The sequence below is a fragment of the Homo sapiens genome, chromosome 7 (assembly GCF_000001405.40).
Source record: "Homo sapiens chromosome 7, GRCh38.p14 Primary Assembly".
Taxonomy (NCBI): domain Eukaryota; kingdom Metazoa; phylum Chordata; class Mammalia; order Primates; family Hominidae; genus Homo; species Homo sapiens.
This window is the reverse complement of record NC_000007.14, coordinates 46,475,430-46,489,940: the sequence shown is the minus strand read 5'-3', so window position 1 is coordinate 46,489,940 and position 14,511 is coordinate 46,475,430. Positions and strand designations below refer to the sequence as shown.

Below are 14,511 nucleotides of genomic sequence, written 5' to 3'. Positions count from 1 at the left end.
GATGAGAGTATTCATCAATCACCAGAAGGTAGATTTAGAGGTACGTTCAGAGCACAACCAGCTCAAAGAATTGGAAAGGCCCAAGTAATAATTGTCACTAAAATATAGGAGCAATACACACACAAAGAGTATTCTATTCATTCTCAGAAATCTATAAAATTGAAGAATTCATAAGCAATTTTTACAGAAAACAAAACTTGTAATTGCAGTTTACGTAAAACTAATTTATACAGCAGTTTTATAAAAGCAATGATTTATATATATGACATATTTTGGATTTGAACAATTTGAGTTTGAAGACCATTGGGCCATTTCATTTTTGCCTGCCAGTTAATAATCTGAGATTAACAGAAGTTAGTTAGTGCTGAACAGTTGCAGTATGCAAGTTCCTTGAAGAATTCACACTGAATGTAAATAGGAAGAACCACAGTTTTGCAGGAAATTCAGGGCTGATCAGATTGCAGGCCTCATTCTGGAGACAGGCTAGTTTTGGATCAAAATTACAAAAAAAAAAAAAAAAAGTAAAGAAAGAAAAAATTTTCTCTGAAATAAACTCCAACCCTTCCAAACTCACTTTTATTAACATTTAAATAGCCTAGATGTTAGTTTAATTTTTAAAGTAATAAAAAGACCATTATTTTCTGTCAGTGATTTATGATTCTGGCAAGAATTTCAATCTTAAGTATCCCAAGTCTGCTATTTACATAAAATGATACTATTTGTTTTACTTTTATTTTTATTTTAGACCAAGGCAATAGATCTTGGTTTTAAGAAAAACTTGGTTTGGTGAAATAATGAAAGAAATAATAAACATCTGTAATTAAAAAACAAAATACCAAAACAAAAACAAGCTGATTAGTGTCCAGGTCCCCAAAACTTAAGTTTATTTCACTTACTTTTTCTCAGAGACAATATGAAAAAGAGAATCACCTGATCCTATTTTACTTCCTTCATTTAGTACAAGGTCTGGGATGGAAAGATCCAAGTTGATGTTTTGGCTTACCCCTTCCTGAGTGTTTTGACCAAGTTATTTCTCTGGGGAGAAGCCAGAAAATTTATCAACCTCATAGTTCTATGAAGAGAGAAGACTGTGAGAATGACTATTAATCTTTTAGAAACTTGAAAGCACGTTCTGATAGGTGTTGTTGTTGTTGTTACTCTTTTCATCCTGGCCAACATCTTAGTAAAACCAGTACTGGGCATCTCTCATAAATCAAGAAGAATTTTCCAAAAACAGAATGTTGGAGGCTATGATCTGTGAGTTGAGAAGCTTTACATGGGTCCCTGGCAAAATTTAGAACGGGATCTTCATGTGGTTTTGTTTGGGACAGAAAATATATATTAAAGTGATACCAGCAGCTTGCACAAATTAACTCTTAGAGAGACAGGAAAGTACTACTGTGCTTTCTAAACCAGCAGATAAAAGGACTGTCACAGATGTTGAATCATTCATTTTACAGGTTTTTAAACACAGAATTTTGGAACATCTCAGGGGTAAAATGGGCAGGATGCTAGCTCCGTTATTTGCTTTTATGTATGTTGAGATATTAAACCATACAATGATGACAATGGTGATGATAGTGAAAGGAAGGGGGCCATGCCAACACACTGTAGCTCTGCCATGGCTCAGTTCCCACTTGAAATGTTCTGTCATTGGAGAAGATAATCATATTGCTAAATTTAAGGTGACAGAATGATGAGAGATCCAGTAAGATGATCCCAGCTTCAAATGTCAAAATCATTAAAATTGAGAGATTAAAGAAAGAATAGAAATACTCGCAATTAAGTCTAATAAAGCTAAAGGTGAAGTTTCTTCTTAATATTTTAAAATTCCAAAGCACATATTTTCTACATGTAAGCAGATAATCAATCAATATTTCAATATTTTTCTTTCTTTCTTTTTTTTTTTTTTTTTGAGACAAAGTCTTGCTGTCACCCAGGCTGAAGTGCAGTGGTATGATCTCTGCTCACTGCAGCCTCTGCCTCCTGGGTTCAAACAATTATCCTGCCTCAGCCTACTGAGTAGCTGGGATTACAGGCATGTGTGCCACCACACCCAGCCAATTTTTGTAATTTTACTAGAGATGGAGTTTCACCATGTTTTCCAGGATGGTCTCGAACTCCTGACCTCAACTGATCCACCTGCCCCAGCCTCCCAAAGTGCTGGGATTACAGGTGTGAGCCACCATACCTGGCCATCAATCAATATTTCTTAAATTAATACATAAATAAATGCATGAGTGGGCAGAAGGATAGATGAATTTCACATTCTGTGTGAAGAAGAGTTTACTTGACAGTAATTTATACTTAAAAATACAAATGCAGGAGTCATGAAATCAAAGCTGGGGTTCCCTCACAAACCATCTAGTGTCTCTATGGGAGTTCTTCCACTGGGAGAACTGAGGTAAGGTGCCCATGGCCTCCCAGCCAGTAAAGAACACATCTGAGCTCAAAGAGGTGCTGTTTGCCTTTACACCCGGCAGGTAAGAAGAGCAGAGTCAAAGACAAAAGGAGGAATGAGGGAGCCTTGAAAGATTAAATTTCAGAATTAGTCATGACTGGCTACTGATGGTCATGTTCCCTTCCATGCATATCACTTGCTTTTACTGTTTGAAAATTCTCCACATGTATCACCTCATCTCCGAGTCCAAAGATAACCTGAATAGGTGATCTGGACATCAGTTAAAAGGTAAGGAGATGAACATCTTTCTTTATGGACATTTGGATCTTAATATGTTTGTAAAGCATGCAAACATCTTTTAAGCTCTGTGTTCTGCACCCTTGAGAAGATGTCTGTATTGCAGTGGTTCTGAAACTGTGGTAGCCACATCAGCAGCATCAGCAGCTCCTGGGTGCTGGTGAGTAACACGAGTTTTCAGGCCCCACCCGAGACCTAGTGAGTCAGAACCTCAGGACTGGGCCCAGCAGCCTGCGTTGTGTCAAGACTTCCAGCTCATTCTAAGGCACACTCAAGTCAGAGAACCACTGTTGTGTTATTGGTGCAAACATCCCAACAGAGAAAGTTAGACATACAATTTATGAAGACGTGGAAGAATAAGAGATGTCAAGGTATCTGTAAAGGAAGAATAAAATCTTATTTAGATTGTTAAAGCCCAGCAAATATGTAGTGTTTAATTGACATCCAGGAAGGTTGAGTCATTTGTCAAAGTTCACACAGCCTCCTAGGAGTTTAAATCATTATGAGTTTAAAAAGACATTTAGAATGACTACTGAGAATAAAAATGAAAAAGGACAACAAAAAATATTAAATAGGAAGCGATTCCAAATGCTAGGAATTGCTAAAAGAAGCTAGAGAGGAATTTATCTGTCAAAGCAATGCAGTTTGCTTTTTTCCACCCTGCAGTACTAAATCATGCTTTTAATTCAATAATGGCATGTAAGAATAAGCTCATTAAATGAGTTAAACTTTTGTGACCCTGAAAACTAGTTTTCTGCATGTTGAATCTGTTGAGAGCACAGCTGAGACCCATCTTCTACCATCTCTGTTGACATTTTTATCAGGTAAGAGGTCACTATGGTAATTATAGAAGAGAAAAATATAAACAAGTGCATATTTATTGTATTTCAGATTTTATCTTCTGTGTCTTCTATCCTCATAGGATGCAACTATCTTTCACACTGATAAGAGTGGCCTTCCTCCATGTTCACTCTGTCAAATGCCTTGTCACTTCATGTTGGATGATAATGTCTATGTCCATGTGAATGAAAGATTCAGACAGGCACAGATTTCAAACTCTCAGCAATTAAGAACAAATAAATTTTGTAAGTAAGAAATCGAAATTTTTTAAAAGCTTAACATTTGTTTCACTTATTTAGAAAATATGATTTTAAGCATTTACACCCTTTTTTTAAACATTAAAAATTGCGATGAGACACACCAATGTATGAGCCTGTTTATCACGTGGCCACATAAACTCAGGAATGGAGGAAATGTGATTGATGTAAATTTATAGTAAGTGGTTAGTGACTCAGGTGGTAGGTTGATAAAAAACTACTCAGAAAAGGCAGAATGGACCTCAGGCTAACAAGGCTGGATTGTATATGTTTAAATATCTTTAAAGATAATGCATTGGCCAAAGAGTCAGGGAATTGCCATGAACACAGAGAAAAGACAGTAGTTGTGGCAGAGGCAGATAAGACAATTGACCCATGGACAGCAATTGCTACTTTGCAAAAACCACAGCTGTACTGCCCTGACCACGCTTTTTAGATTACCTGCTCTCATTTTTTTCTGATCCTGTATCTCATAAAGCCTTGCTTTTGCCAGTTTTCCAAATATGGGAAAAAAATGCCTGGTCAAACCACTGTGCATTCCAACCTGCAGGAGGATTTTTGTTTATCTTTGTGAATTAGTAACACTGGCATTGCTGTTGAGTTCATTTATTCATCCAAGTATTTCCTTAGAAAGGAGCTTCCTGGGTTTCTGAGATAGTGAGCTCCCTGGTAGGGGAGAAAGATAGCATGCAGGTGTTACTATGACTTACTTTGGAAAGCGACCCAGTGGGACACAGCCCAGGGCAATGATCTACCTGTCAAGGAGGAGGTAGTGGCACCAACTGCACTTTGGAGAAAATGACACCCTTGAGCTGGTTCTAAAATGACAAATACAGTTTGGCCAGCTTTGTGTTTTTGTTTTATTTTGCCTTAAAGGAGTAATAGGAAAGGACTTTGAGGCAGAGAAGGGGACAGAAAAGCAACCCTCTAAGTAGAGTGCCCCATGCGGGGGGTGGTGTTGGGAGAGGAAGTGTTTCCACTAGTAGCCTTCGAGTTGTGATGTGGAAACTTCCACCTGCAGTGCCCAGGGCAGGGCAGAGAAGTCAGGCTTCAGGGAACACTAGGCTCTATTCCACAGGCAGATGTCAGGAAGGAGGAAGTGAAGAGTCAGCAGAGCACTTCACTTGCTGGTAGCAGGTGGAATATGGATCGAGAGACAGCCAATGGATTGAGAGGTGGAACATGGATTGGTTGAAACAAACAATAGAAATATTGTGTGATCCACAAAGGCAATTTTAAAATTCTTTAATAGCCACAAGAAACAAGTGAAATAAATGTGATAATGTAATTTATTTAACACAATACATTCAAACTTTTGTCATTTAAAATGTCATCAGTACACAAATTTATTAATGATAGTTTACACTTACTCTTCTTGTACTTGGTGTTTGAAACCTTGCATGTATTTTACACATAAAGCATATTTTTATTTACAGATGCTAAACTCATCACAATTACTCGATCTGTGTTTAGATTTCATTAAATTTAAAGTTGAAGAGTACATTCACATGCCGGAGTTTTTCAGAGATTCTGAAAGGGTTTTTTTCTCTCTCTTTTGTTTTTTTGTTTTTCTGTTTTGAGATAGAGTCTGGCTCTGTTGCCCATGCTGGAGTGAGGCAGTGTGATCTTGGCTCACTGCAACTGCCACCTCCTGGGCTCAAGTCATCCTTCCACCTCAGCCTCCCGAGTAGCTGTGACCACAGGCACATGCCACCATGCCCAGGTAATTTTCTGTGTTTTTGATTGAGACAGGGTTTCACTATGTTGCCCAGGCTGGTCTCAAACTCCTGAGCTCAAGCAATCCAACTGCCTCGGCTTCCCAAACTGCTGGGATTACAGGCATGAGCCACCATGCTCAACCAGAGATTCTTAAGTTTTCTAACAACTGAATTCAGTATCTATATTTTCTTGATTTAATGCAATTAAATACTACTAAAACTTCAGATAACTGGTTACACCAGTCACATTTCAAGTGCTCAGTAGCAACATATGGCCATTGGCTAGTGTATTGGACAACTCAGGGATAGAGCAAAGAGACTTGGAGGATAGGATCCATTTGGAAGATTTATGTTGTAGTCACAGAAATTATGACAACAGTTTAAGCAAGGTTAATCATAGAAGAATGAATATGAGATGGAATATTGGAGAACTATTAGAAGGCATAATGGACAAACTTAGTAAGAGAGAAAGGGAGTAGTCAGGCAAGTCCCCAGGGAGCTGGTGTGAGGGAGTGAGCAAATGGTGTTCTCCCAGGAAGACTGTGTGTGCAGGAGAACACAGGAGTTGAGAGAGAAAGAACGACTTCTACTTTGGACAAAGCAATTCCAAGGAGCCCATGGTACTCTGAAGCAGACTGACCACACACAAATAGCCCTGGAGGATTAGTTATTTGAAGAGGGTTGGAAAGTAGTTATTGAACTTTGAGAGCTATCGGCAGGTGGTAGTCAAAACCCGCCAGGCTCTATGAGGTCTTTGTTGAAGTGAGTCCATCTCTGAGGTGCACATCTGCTTCAGCGCACAGAGAAAATTAGAGTTTGAGCCTGAAGGGTCCTGGCACAGATTGTGGCCTAGGTTAATTTGACTTAAGTACTGCCTGCTGCTGACATCTTGGTAGGCAATTTGCTAGTGTCTTCGGGAAACTCCTAGATTCATAACTTTGTTCCATATTTGTCTTCCAGATTTTGCAGGTGTCATCTGCTTGTCATCAAAGGCTTATATGCAAATATATTTAAGAAACGTTTTCCTTTCTTTACTGATCCCTAATAGATAGTAGTTATGTGTCTGGTAGGTTACATGCAAATTAAACACATATGAACGGGAGAATTCAAATACACTGAGGAAAGCTCTAGATACTAGATGTGGTGTTATTTTTGTAAATGTAAAAGCAGTCACAAATTGTACAAGTTACCACTAATTAGTACAGAAATTTAATGAAATTTTTTTTAGTACAGCAAATAGGAAAACTCAGTTTTAAGTTTGCATTTTATAATATTACAATCATTAAATATGAACTCAATTCAAATTGGAGAAATTTAAGCTTTAGAATGAAAAGATTTATTTCTACTTTTATGGAAGAAAGTAGAATTCTTTCATCATTACTGTACTTTTTAAAAATTATTTATTATACTTTAAGTTCTGGGGTACATGTGCAGAATGTGCAGTTTTGTTACATAGGTAAACATGTGCCATGGTGGTTTGCTGCACCCATCAACCCATCAACTGCATTAGGTATTTCTCCTAATGCTATGCCTCCCCTAGCCCCCACCCCACAACAAGCCCTGGTGTGTGATGTTCCCCTCCCTGTGTCCATGTGTTCTCATTGTTCAACTCCCACTTATGAGTGAGAATATGCTGTGCTTGGTTTTCTGTTCTTCTGAAAGTTTGCTGAGAATGATGGTTTTTAGCTTCATCCATGTCCCTGCAAAGGACATGAACTCATCCTTTTTTATGCCTGCATAATATTACATGGTGAATATGTGCCACATTTTCGTTATCCAGTCTATAATTGATGGACATTTGGGTTGGTTCCAAGTATTTGCTATTGTGAATAGTGCCACAATAGACATACATGTGCATGTGTCTTTATAATAGAATGATTTATAATCCTTTGGATATATACCCAGTAATGGGATTGCTGGTTAAATGGTATTTCTGGTTCTAGATCCTTGAGGAATTGCCACACTGTCTTCCACAATGGTTGAACTAATTTACACTCCCACCAACAGTGTAAAAGCGTTCCTATTTCTCCACATCCTCTAGAGCATCTGTTGTCTCCTGACTTTCTAATGATTGCCATTCTAACTGGCATGAGATGGCATCTCGTTGTGGTTTTGATTTGCATTTCTCTAACGACCAGTGATGATGAGCATTTTTTCATATGTCTGTTGGCTGCATAAATGTCTTCTTTATATGCAGAAAACTGAAACTAGACCCATTCCTCACACCTTATACAAAAATCAAGTCAAGATGGATTAAAGACTTAAATGTAAGGCCTAAAATCATAAAAATCCTAGAAGAAAACCTGGGTAATGCCATTGAAGACATAGACATAGGCAAAGACTTCATGTCTAAAACATCAAAAGCAATGGCAACAAAAACCAAAATTGACAAATGGGATCTAATTAAACTAAAGAGCTTCTGCACAGTAAAAGAAACTATCATCAGAGTGAATAGGCAACTTGCAGAATGGGAGAAGATTTTTGCAATCTATCCATCTGACAAAGGGCTAATATCCAGAATTTACAAAGAACTTAAACAAATTTACAAGAAGAAAACAAACAACCCCATCAAAAAGTGGGCAAAGGATATGAATGAATACTGTACTACTGTTAATAAGAATCATATATAATAATTCACAAACATTTCAGGGCTGGTTAGAGTAGCCTTTCCTTTATGAGTTCATCTTCTTTAAAGGACAGAAATGGCAGTGGATTGCAAGTCTCCAGTAGGAGACAGCCCAGGTGTTCACAATGGGGGCACTATCGATGACACAATGACCCAAATCAAACAAGTGAAACATCACAGAGGCAGGAAAGTTCTGCCCCAAACCCTGCAAGAACAGGGACTTAGAAAAGCTTAGACATTCATAGGAATAAGACCTCCAGCTATTTATGGGTTGATTACAAGCTCAGTATGATTCAATTGATGATTAGATAGTAGACATCACCTGTTACGATTGGAGCCCTGTGGCCAAGAGGACGCCTGTGAACTATTTCACCTGATTAGGCCACGCTGGGATTTTTTGCTTGGGTGAGAGGTCGTGCTTCCCCAGGACACGGGCAGCAGCCTGGAGAGAGGAGTCTCAGAGGGTAACCCTGCTCTTCTCAAATATGGAAAGCTCCTATGTGGAAGGGCAGTGAGTGGGATTTATCTTTTTCTGGGGATTCCAGATGGCAGAAAAGTAAGTTACAAATGAGCAGTGGTTAAGGGTTTGAACTGAGAAAGAGGAGCACATGTACTTCCCAATTCTTCCCACAAAAACTTTTGGGCGTTACACATAATGCCTCTCTGCCTGCCAGTGTCTCTTATGAACCAACATAAAAAGACACTGGCAGGGAGAGAGAAGGCAGCCCAGGAAGGGACCTTCAGACCCAAGGCCTGATGTGGTGGTGAGTGCCCTGGTTTTTTCTTTTTGCATCACATGTTACAGACTTGGATCTCAACAAGTGAGCAATGAGGAAAGGCCAACAGGCACAGACAAAATGAATAAATAAATGCAATCCCCCAAGAAAAAGCTCGCTGTGTCTAGCCAAAGCACCAGGAAAGGGGCAGCCTAGCAACACAGGAAACTTTTAGACAATAATGTCCCCACTCCAGCCAAATACCAGGGAAAAACTGTGGCCCCACCTCCACCCAGGCCAGGAAAAGCCAGGCAGGGACCCCAGACTTCCACCCTCACTGGCCAGAACAATAGGCTGCAGGGAAGTGTCCCAACCCCAACCTGCAGCTGAGGAGGTGTTAGGGAACGCAGAATAGGGACATGAGACTCATATCCTCACCTAGTGGATGCCACCCCTCTTCCCCAGTGTAACAGAAACCACACACATGTGGGGCAGATGTGGGGCAGGGCTTCCACCACTACTAGGCTGTCCTCCTGCTCCACCAGAGACATGTCAGAACTTTCACCCCTGCCCAGCAGTAAGGAGGCCAAGACCCCTTGCCGGGTGTCTGTGAAGGCCTCTGGGGAAGCACTAAAAGGCAGAACCTCTTCTCCTGCCCAGGTAATAGCAGAGGCCTCATGGATTTTACGACCCCCCCCCTCCACCCAGAAAAACTAGGAGTCTCTCCCCACACTCAGTGTAAATAGACCCAGGTGGAGAATCTTGACTTCTACCCCATCTGGCGAGGTAGAGGCAGTGGGCCACTTCCTCAGCTGAAGTGTCAGAGGAAGCCACTAAAACAGGCACAGAATTCAATAAAATCCATAGTTTTAGAACATAATGCCCCAAATGCTCAGATTTTAATAGAAACTCAAACATAATACTAATAACCAGAATATGTTGGATAAAGTTTCCAAGAAAATTCCTTTTGTTCAGTGATATGTGAAGCAAAGGGGGAACTGGCTTCTTGAAGTTACATTGTGAAAAACCCTCACAGGGTTTGGGGTTCATATAAAATGTAGATTGGGACATCCCTTATGACTTGCGATAGTGCTGTAAGAAATAGCTTTTCTATAGTTGGACTGGGATATGTTACTTCTAATTGGATGGTTATGGTGACCCTGGTATTAACTTTGGCTAAATTATCTAATGATGATGGTAGTACTTCGGCCAATGGCGATTCCAAAGTCCAAATGTAGCAAGAGGTTAAGTTGGTTACTGAGGCTAAGTGTCGCATTTAAATAAATAAATTTAACATTTACAGTTTTCTGCCTTTTAAAACATATTTCATATTACATGTGGCTAATCAATTAAATAATTAATGGAAAATGGCCATGTAAATTGTATCCAGTTAGGCCCACACTGCTGAGCGGGATTTGAGTGTGAGAATCCAAGTACAGAAGCTGAATTTGGGAAAATAGTCTTGCTAAAGAAAGGTAACTAAAACAGATATTCATCTTGAATCTAATAAGAATCTTTCTTTAACTATACAATTATTTAAACTTTTGTATTTTATCTTTATTAGGCATTGTTGCTTTTTTGAGATACGTTTTAACAGTTTCTTTTCTTTCTGCATAAAAACATCATTTGCAGATTTCAAGTAATACAGCATCCACAAGAAATCCTTGCTATTCTAATTTGTATGAATAAATTCAGTGAGTCTAGGAGGAAATTTCTCATTTAAGTGTGCATTTCATTGAACATCAAAACAAAACTTTGAATGGAAAGAGAATCCATTTGTTGAAATGTAGGAAATAAAACATAATAATAAAAATCTGTGGCCGGGCACAGTGGCTCAAGCCTGTAATCCCAGCACTTTGGGAGGCCAAGGTGGGCAGATCACCTGAGGTCATGAGTTCAAGACCAGCCTGGCCAACATGGTGAAACCACATCTCTACTAAAAAAAAAAAAAAAAAAATTAGCCGGGAGTGGTGATGGACACCTGTAATCCCAGCTACTCAGGAGGCTGAGACAGGAGAATTGCTTGAACCCGAGAGGCGAAGGTTGCACTGAACTGAGATTGTGCCACTGTACTCCAGCCTGGGTGACAGAGTGAGACTCTGTCTAAACAATAATAATAATGTGGAAAAGGGGTTCAAATATAACTGTTTTAAAACAAAGCAACTGTAATGACATGACAACACAACTTATCAGCATTTCCCAAGGGCAGACATTAACATGTTATTTAAGATGTAACTTCAGTAGAATAACTGGGAAATGCTAGCTCAAAGTTAAGGTGACTTCCTTCTGGGAAAATCTTGTCAGTTTTTACTGTGGTACTGGTCATAGGCATCTCAGGAGGAGGGCGTGGTATTGCAGGAGCCAGCACCTCTCAAACTCATACAACATGGAACCACCCCTGCCCTTCCTCTCTCCCCTTTCTTTGCAAAGCAAATTGCACACTTGTTCCCATTTTTCACACAGTGACTAAGGGTTGGGGGGATGTGTTAGACTTCAAATTAGCATCCTGTGTTCAGGTAGGTATCACCGATGAGTTGGTTTTGAGAATTTGACACACTTAGTTTCTTTTGGCATCTTTTTCCTCTTTGTTAAACAGGTGATATTATACCTCCCTTGTAGAGTATTTTGAGAGAATGACTTGTTATATATGGGGAAATATTTTGGAACTTTCATATGAAAAATAACCCTTAATGCCTAGTGTACATAACTGGGTCATGACTTACTGGTCTCTGTTGGCACTGGCTTCAGCGATTACTTTCTTTTTGCCATTACTAGTTCATGCACACATGGCCTTGCAGAAAGCTCAGGTCAAAGTGAGTCACATGCTATCCAGTGAAATGCTTTTAAATGCCCTGCTGGGTCCACATGTGGCTAACCACAAGAGAGCATACAGTGACTTCTAGTGAATGGCCACAGGGAGTGAACATGACTTAACTCATTTATTTCTTTCAAAGCACATGTGTTGTGATTATCTCTGTTTTACAGATAGGGAAACTGAGGCTTAGATAATTGAGAATAAGTAACTCTCTCTGTCAGTCAATGACATGATATAGGTGGGTTTCAAGTCAGGTTTCTCTGTCCCCATTCTGTAAGCTCTCATTTTAAGTCATCCTATTTTTATTCTTTAATTCTTCTCTTTCAGTGGCAGATTTTCCCAATTCCACATTTTGGAAGTATCAAGAGCTGTTTCATGAGATAAGCTGGCGAGAGGAAATAGACTACTCTGGTAGGAAACTAGAGCAGGTGGGCAGGAGTGACTTTCCTCTTCTCTTCCTGTTCCTCACACCCACCAGACCCGAGGTCCCCTGCCCGTCTGTTCTCTGCAGCCCCCACTGAAGCCTCAAAGTCCTTGCAAACGTTGCAATATCCTGCCTTCCTTCTTCCTTCCTAAAGGCTCCAGCTTTTCTGGGCCATACCTTTCCATCTCCGCTACCCCATCCCCACCTCCTTTATAAGGCTGTTCCACTCAGGGCTGCTGTTGGCCTTTCTTAGTTACCCCAGGGCCAGGTGACAGACAAAAGCCCCAGTCAATACTCCAGACCCTGCTGAAATTACTCAAACTAGCTCATCCTAAGCCCCTTGTGGTATGTCATGCCTCCTGCTTCCAGGGAACTGTGAGCTTAAACTTCTTCCATTATGACAGTCATTTCTGTGTCTGTGTCTGTTGTAAACAAATCCTGGGTATAATTAAAATACCATGCATCAAACTCCAAGAAAAACCAGGATTCATCCTCTTCTGTGCTTTTACTGAGCACTGGTCAGATCCTACTTTGCACTTAGTTGGTATGATCTAAGCTTCTCTATCTATTTCTCCTGCTAATCTGCCTGCAAGCCCCTCACCAGAGGTGATACCGTTTTATACACCTCACTCTTAACATACTGTCAGCACAAGTGGACGTTTGATAAGTGTTTACTGAATCTGAAATGAGATTTATGTTGGAGGAGGTGCTCACAAATTTATTTCACCTCTGATCATTATATCATTCCCTGTTTGTAGTAACAACTTAACTAAATTATTACGAAGAGGTTAAGTATTTGTTGGGCACCTACTGTATCCCAGGACCTCAAATTTCCTTTACACTAAAGAAATAAAACTATGATTTGCTTCCAAGTATTGTCCTATCAGGCCCTCAATCCTCCAAAACGGGAATAAGATCCAACCTATTTCTGTGTTTGAGAATTCATCCTGACCCATGTAAACAGTCTGCAGTGATTCCCAGCAGAAACTAGAATATGAGTGTAGAACACGATCTTTTATTTATTTCATATGTAACATCTGAAAAGTTAATTTTTTTCCCTGCAAACAATGCCCAGCAGCAGAATGAAGTTTGAGATCATCCCAAAAGATGTATGTCTGCACCACATTTTTCTTGACAGGAGAAAAAGTGACAAGAGCTAATTAAAGGAAAACAGAATGTTCTTTTTTGATGGCCCAACAGACAATTCTTTTCAGTCACACTTTATTATTATTAGTTTATCACTACCCTATTTCTTTTAGGTGTACTCAAGGTAACATTCTCCCTACTTCCTGGTCTACTAGTTCAAGAAAAACGTTTGTTTTGAGTGCCACACGGCGAACCCATTTTAGAAGTGTTTCTATTACTAATAAAACATTTGCATATTTGGATAGTAATATGTATCATTCATAGTTTACTTTAGTTATTTCACGATCACATTTATAAAAGCTTTCCAGTTAACAATTCCTGTTTGCATTCGTGTCTCCTTTTATCCAGAGAGATAGTCACCTTGTAAGTAGGTTGAGATTGTTTTCTAGGATTTTCTTTAAGGACACCTGAGTCCCTGAGACATGCAGTGGGCCCTCCAACAGCAAACATGAGACAGTGGGCTGGACTCCAGGGCTGTTGCCATCAAATTCCACATTCTTTCTTCTCTGTTAATTCATTGCAAATATTTCATATTTTGCCCTTCACACTTGGAATATTTGAACTGCCATTATGTGTTCAACTTGAGAAAAGCTGTGACTAGGAAACAAATATTGCCGGCTTCTAGTGACCTTGAGGTCCATCCTCCACTTGTTTTTTTTGGTTAGTTTGCCTTTATTTAAATTTATTCAGTTCCTGACTTGCTACTTGTTTTATTTCTTAATATTTACCTTCATTGAAGTATCCAACCATCACAGACACATTTTTCATTTCATTCAATGAACTGCACTTAAGCAGCTACCACTTTTCTAGGCCCTGGGTCCATGTGAAGGACATTAGGTTGAATTACAATACCAATGTGCTCCTGCATGGAACTTCGTGTCCACCAAGGGGGTCAACCTGTAAGGAGGGTGGCTGGACCCAGGGGATCTGCCTGTTATCACACAACAATAGCAACACCCCCCACCCTGCCTTGACCTTGCTCTGTGTGGCCACCAGTGAAATCTGTTTAAGGCTGTTCCCTTGATTAAGGGTCTTTTGTGATTTTCCGTCATGCACTGGGTCTGTTAATCTTGTAATCTGCTAAGAATCTCATAAAAGCTATGATTTTTTAACCAAGGAAATGCACACCAGGATATATACCCAGTATTTTGCAAGCACGTCTCAGGAGCTTCATGCCCCTGACAGACATCCACTGAGACTTAAATATCCCCTGCCTAAAGCAAAAGGTCCAAATTCCTAAAATCAGCTTGTCACTCCACTTGCACAGCCAA

At 39.7% G+C, this 14,511-nt stretch overlaps 1 long non-coding RNA gene across 2 annotated transcripts; it reads left to right on the top strand.

The window, feature by feature from the left end:
* The first annotated feature begins 8,362 nt into the window (after window positions 1-8,362).
* On the top strand, window positions 8,363-13,486 carry LOC105375266 (uncharacterized). Of its 2 annotated transcripts, none has more exons than NR_187896.1 (4): window positions 8,363-8,695; window positions 10,246-10,330; window positions 11,998-12,098; window positions 13,354-13,486. It is a non-coding gene; the product is annotated as an uncharacterized LOC105375266 (long non-coding RNA). The 2 variants fall into 2 exon arrangements; NR_187898.1 differs by lacking the exon at window positions 13,354-13,486 and adding an exon at window positions 13,173-13,280.
* Window positions 13,487-14,511: the final 1,025 nt, after the last annotated feature.